Source organism: Homo sapiens, chromosome 7 (assembly GCF_000001405.40).
Source record: "Homo sapiens chromosome 7, GRCh38.p14 Primary Assembly".
Taxonomy (NCBI): Eukaryota; Metazoa; Chordata; class Mammalia; order Primates; family Hominidae; genus Homo; species Homo sapiens.
In genome coordinates this window covers 97776956-97782153 of record NC_000007.14, presented here as the reverse complement: position 1 = coordinate 97782153, position 5198 = coordinate 97776956, and the positions used below count along the sequence as shown (strand labels likewise).

General features: G+C 43.0%; 1 annotated feature.

The window, feature by feature from the left end:
- Nucleotides 3100–3601: an enhancer, noted in NCBI's record as "H3K4me1 hESC enhancer chr7:97407865-97408366 (GRCh37/hg19 assembly coordinates)". NCBI's record gives its function as "activates a minimal SCP1, AML or CMV promoter by ChIP-STARR-seq in primed H9 embryonic stem cells {active_cell/tissue: H9 hESC(primed)}" and the evidence as "EXISTENCE:reporter gene assay evidence [ECO:0000049][PMID:30033119]".

Below are 5198 nucleotides of genomic sequence, written 5' to 3'. Positions count from 1 at the left end.
TAAGGAGATTTTGGGCTGAGACAATGGGGTTTTCTAGATATACAATCATGTCATCTGCAAAAAGGGACAACTTGACTTCCTCTTTTCCTAATTGAATACCCTTTATTTCTTTCTCCTGCCTAATTGCCCTTGCCAGAACTTCCAACACTATGTTGAATAGGAGTGGTGAGAGAGGGCATCCCTGTCTTGTGCCAGTTTTCAAAGGGATTGCTTCCAGTTTTTGCCCATTCAGTATGATATTGGCTGTGGGTTTGTCATAGATAGCTCTTATTATTTTGAGATACGTCCCATCAATACCTAATTTATTGAGAGTTTTTAGCATGAAGGGTTGTTGAATTTTGTCAAAGGCCTTTTCTGCATCTATTGAGATAATCATGTGGTTTTGTCTTTGGTTCTGTTTATATGCTGGATTACATTTATTGATTTGCATATATTGAACTTGCCTTGCATCCCAGGGATGAAGCCCTCTTGATCATGGTGGATAAGCTTTTTGATATGCTGCTGGATTCGGTTTGCTAGTATTTTATTGAGGATTTTTGCATCAATGTTCATCAAGGATATTGGTCTAAAATTCTCTTTTTCGGTTGTGTCTCTGCCCAGCTTTGGTATCAGGATGATGCTGGCCTCATTAAACGAGTTAGGGAGGATTCCCTCTTTTTCTATTGATTGGAATAGTTTCAGAAGGAATGATACCAGTTCCTCCTTGTACCTCTGGTAGAATTCGGCTGTGAATCCATCTGGTCCTGGACTCTTTTTGGTTGGTAAGCTATTGATTATTGCCCCAATTTCAGAGCCTGTTATTGGTCTATTCAGAGATTCAACTTCTTCCTGGTTTAGTCTTGGGAGGGTGTATGTGTCCAGGAATTTATCCATTTCTTCTAGATTTTCTAGTTTATTTGCGTAGAGGTGTTTGTAGTATTCTCTGATGGTAGTTTGTATTTCTGTAGGATCAGTGGTGATATCCCCTTTATCATTTTTTATTGCATCTATTTGATTCTTCTCTCTTTTCTTCTTTATTAGTCTTGCTAGTGGTCTATCACTTTTGTTGATCCTTTCAAAAAACCAGCTCCTGGATTCATTAATTTTTTGAAGGTTTTTTTGTGTCTCTATTTCCTTCAGTTCTGTTCTGATTTTAGTTATTTCTTGCCTTCTGCTAGCTTTTGAATGTGTTTGCTCTTGCATTTCTAGTGCTTTTAACTGTGATATTAGGGTGTCAATTTTGGATCTTTCCTGCTTTCTCTTGTGGGCATTTAGTGCTATAAATTTCCCTCTACACACTCCTTTGAATGTGTCCCAGAGATTCTGGTATGTTGTGTCTTTGTTCTCGTTGATTTCAAAGAACATCTTTATTTCTGCCTTCATTTTGTTATGTACCCAGTATTCATTCAGGAGCAGGTTGTTCAGTTTCCATGTACTTGAGCACTTTTGAGTGAGTTTCCTAATCCTGAGTTCTAGTTTGATTGCACTGTGGTCTGAGACACAGTTTGTTCTAATTTCTGTTCTTTTACATTTGCTGAGGAGAGCTTTACTTCCAACAATGTGGTCAACTTTGGAATAGGTGTTGTGTGATGCTGAGAAGAATGTATATTCTGTTGATTTGGGGTGGAGAGTTCTGTAGATTTCTATTTGGTCCACTTGGTGCAGAGCTGAGTTCAATTGCTGGGTATCCTTGTTAACTTTCTGTCTTGTTGATCTGTCTAATGTTGACAGTGGGGTGTTAAAGTCTCCCATTATTATTGTGTGGGAGTCTAAGTCTCTTTGTAGGTCACTCAGGACTTGCTTTATGAATCTGGGTGCTCCTGTATTGGGTGCATATATATTTAGGATAGTTAGCTCTTCTTGTTGAATTGATCCCTTTACCATTATGTAATGGCCTTCTTTGTCTCTTTTGATCTTTGTTGGTTTAAAGTCTGTTTTATCAGAGACTAGGATTGCAACCCCTGCTTTTTTTTGTTTTCCATTTGCTTGGTAGATCTTCCTCCATCCTTTTATTTTGAGCCTATGTGTGTCTCTGCACGTGAGATGGGTTTCCTGAATACAGCACACTGATGGGTCTTGACTCTTTATCCAATTTGCCAGTCTGTGTATTTTAATTGGAGCATTTAGTCCATTTACATTTAAAGTTAATATTGTTATGTGTGAATTTGATCCTGTCATTATGATGTTAGCTGGTTATTTTGCTCGTTAGTTGATGCAGTTTCTTCCTAGCCTTGATGATCTTTATAATTTGGCATGTTTTTGCAGTGGCTGGTACCGGTTTTTCCTTTCCATGTTTAGTGCTTCCTTCAGGAGCTCTCTTAGGGCAGGCCTGGTGGTGCCAAAATCTCTCAGCATTTGCTTGTCTGTAAAGTATTTTATTTCTCCTTCACTTATGAAGCTTAGTTTGGCCGGATATGAAATTCTGGGTTGAAAATTCTTTGCTTTAAGAATGTTGAAAATTGGCCCCCACTCTCTTCTGGCTTGTAGAGTTTCTGCCAAGAGGTCCGTTGTTAGTCTGATGGGCTTCCCTTTGTGGGTAACCCGACCTTTTTCTCTGGCTGCCCTTAACATTTTTTCCTTCATTTCAACTTTGGTGAATCTGACAATTATGTGTCTTGGAGTTGCTCTTCTCGAGGAGTATCTGTGGCATTCTCTGTATTTCCTGAATCTGAATGTTGGCCTGCCTTGCTAGTTTGGGGCAGCCAAGATGGCCGAATAGGAACAGCTCTGGTCTACAGCTCCCAGCGTGAGCGACGCAGAAGACGGGTGATATCTGCATTTCCATCTGAGGTACCAGGTTCATCTCACTAGGGAGTGCCAGACAGTGGGTGCAGGACAGTGGGTGCAGCGCACCGTGCGTGAGACGAAGCAGGGCGAGGCATTGCCTCACTCGGGAAGTGCAAGGGGTCAGGGAGTTCCCTTTCCTAGTCAAAGAAAAGGGTGACAGAACGCACCTGGAAAATCAGGTCACTCCCACCCTAATATTGCGCTCTTCTGACGGGCTTAAAAAACAGCGCACCACGAGATTATGTCTCTCACCTGGCTCGGAGGGTCCTATGCCCACGGAGTCTCCCTGATTGCTAGCACAGCAGTCTGAGATCAAACTGCAAGGCGGCAGCGAGGCTGGGGAAGGGTGCCCGCCATTGCCCGGGCCTGCTTAGGTAAACAAAGCAGCCGGGAAGCTCGAACTGGGTGGAGCCTACCACAGCTCAAGGAGCCTGCCTGCCTCTGTAGGCTCCACCTCTGGGGGCAGGGCACAGACAAACAAAAAGACAGCAGTAACCTCTGCAGACTTAAATGTCCCTGTCTGACAGCTTTGCAGACAGCAGTGGTTCTCCCAGCACGCAGCTGGAGATCTGAGAACGGGCAGACTGCCTCCTCAAGTGGGTCCCTGACCCCTGACCCCCGAGCAGCCTAACTGGGAAGCACCCTCCAGTAGGGGCAGACTGACACCTCTCACAGCTGGGTACTCCTCTGCGACAAAACTTCCAGAGGAACGATCAGACAGCAGCATTCGTGGCTCACGAAAATCCGCTGTTCTACAGCCACTGCTGCTGACACCCAGGCAAACAGGTTCTGGAGTGGACCTCTAGCAAACTCCAACAGACCTGCAGCTGAGGGTCCTGTCGTTAGAAGGAAAACTAACAAACAGAAAGGACATCCACACCAAAAACCCATCTGTACATCACCATCATCAAAGACCAAAAGTAGATAAAACCACAAAGATGGGGAAAAAACAGAGCAGAAAAACTGGAAACTCTAAAAAGCAGAGCGCCTCTCCTCCTCCAAAGGAGCGCAGTTCCTCACCAGCAACGGAACAAAGCTGGACGGAGAATGACTTTGACGAGTTGAGAGAAGGAGGCTTCAGACGATCAAACTACTCCGAGCTGCAGGAGGAAATTCAAACCAAAGGCAAAGAAGTTAAAAACTTTGAAAAACATTTAGACGAATGTATAACTAGAATAACCAAGACAGAGAAGTGCTTAAAGGAGCTGATGGAGCTGAAAGCCAAGGCTCGAGAACTACGTGAAGAATGCAGAAGCCTCAGGAGCCGATGCGATCAACTGGAAGAAAGGGTATCAGTGATGGAAGATGAAATGAATGAAATGACGCAAGAAGGGAAGTTTAGAGAAAAAAGAATAAAAAGAAACGAACAAAGCCTCCAAGATATATGGGACTATGTGAAAAGACCAAATCTACATCTGATTGGTGTACCTGAAAGTGACGGGGAGAATGGAACCAAGTTGGAAAACACTGTGCAGGATATTATCCAGGTGAACAGGTTTTAACACCTTATAGGTTCCTTCATTAATTAATGATTTAAATAAAATCTTTGGCATGCATTTATTTTATATCTATGTGAGTCCTGATTGTACCCTCTTTTAATAAGTATCCTTTAATATTACCAATGGTTTAGGTCTAAAAAAGATCACTGGGCATCTTTATGTTTTTTTCCCTCTGACTGGTGAGTAGTGAAAACATCTGGGAAGAAATAGATGCAATATGTAAAGTGTACTATGGAACTGATTCTTGGTGATAAAAATCAATGCTCTAAGGTCACATGTTGAACAGGGAACATGCTGGAGCCACCTCTGCAATCCTCCTTCCCCACCTCTAATTCCTCCCAGCCCCATCCCACTGCCTGCTGTCAACCTTCACACATGGAAGTAAGTGGAGTGAAACCTGGTAAAAAGCCCTTATGAAAACTCAGAAGAGAGAATGGAGCCAGGATATTGCAATAAATAAAGAACATTGCCTAAGTCATATTCTTCTCCTTCCTACCTACCATTTAATCACTGCCATTCCTTCAAATTACAGACAAGTGGATAGACTTAAAATACTCAGCTCTTAGACTGTATCCCTAAGAGTAAAGAAAAACTGGTTTCATATTTGGGGAAAAATCATAGCAGACAATCATAGCTTTTCTAGCTATGGTATTTTGCCCACATCCTTCAGAGCACTACCAGTCTACCTTTTGCCAGTATCTTTAACTCTTTTCCTTAAGGCCTCCTCTGAATTTACAGGAGGCTTCCTGACTGTGGGGTCGGGGCGGGGCAGGGGAGAGTTAGCGCTCCTCTGAGAGCCGGCCTTGACCAAATGACTGATAGCAGTTGATGTATGAGCACGTGAGCAACTTTGCTCCTTGGGTTGGATAACTTTGAGGAGCATATTTTGAGTTATTTCTCAGAATCTACCCGAGGAATTAAGCTCCAGTTGCC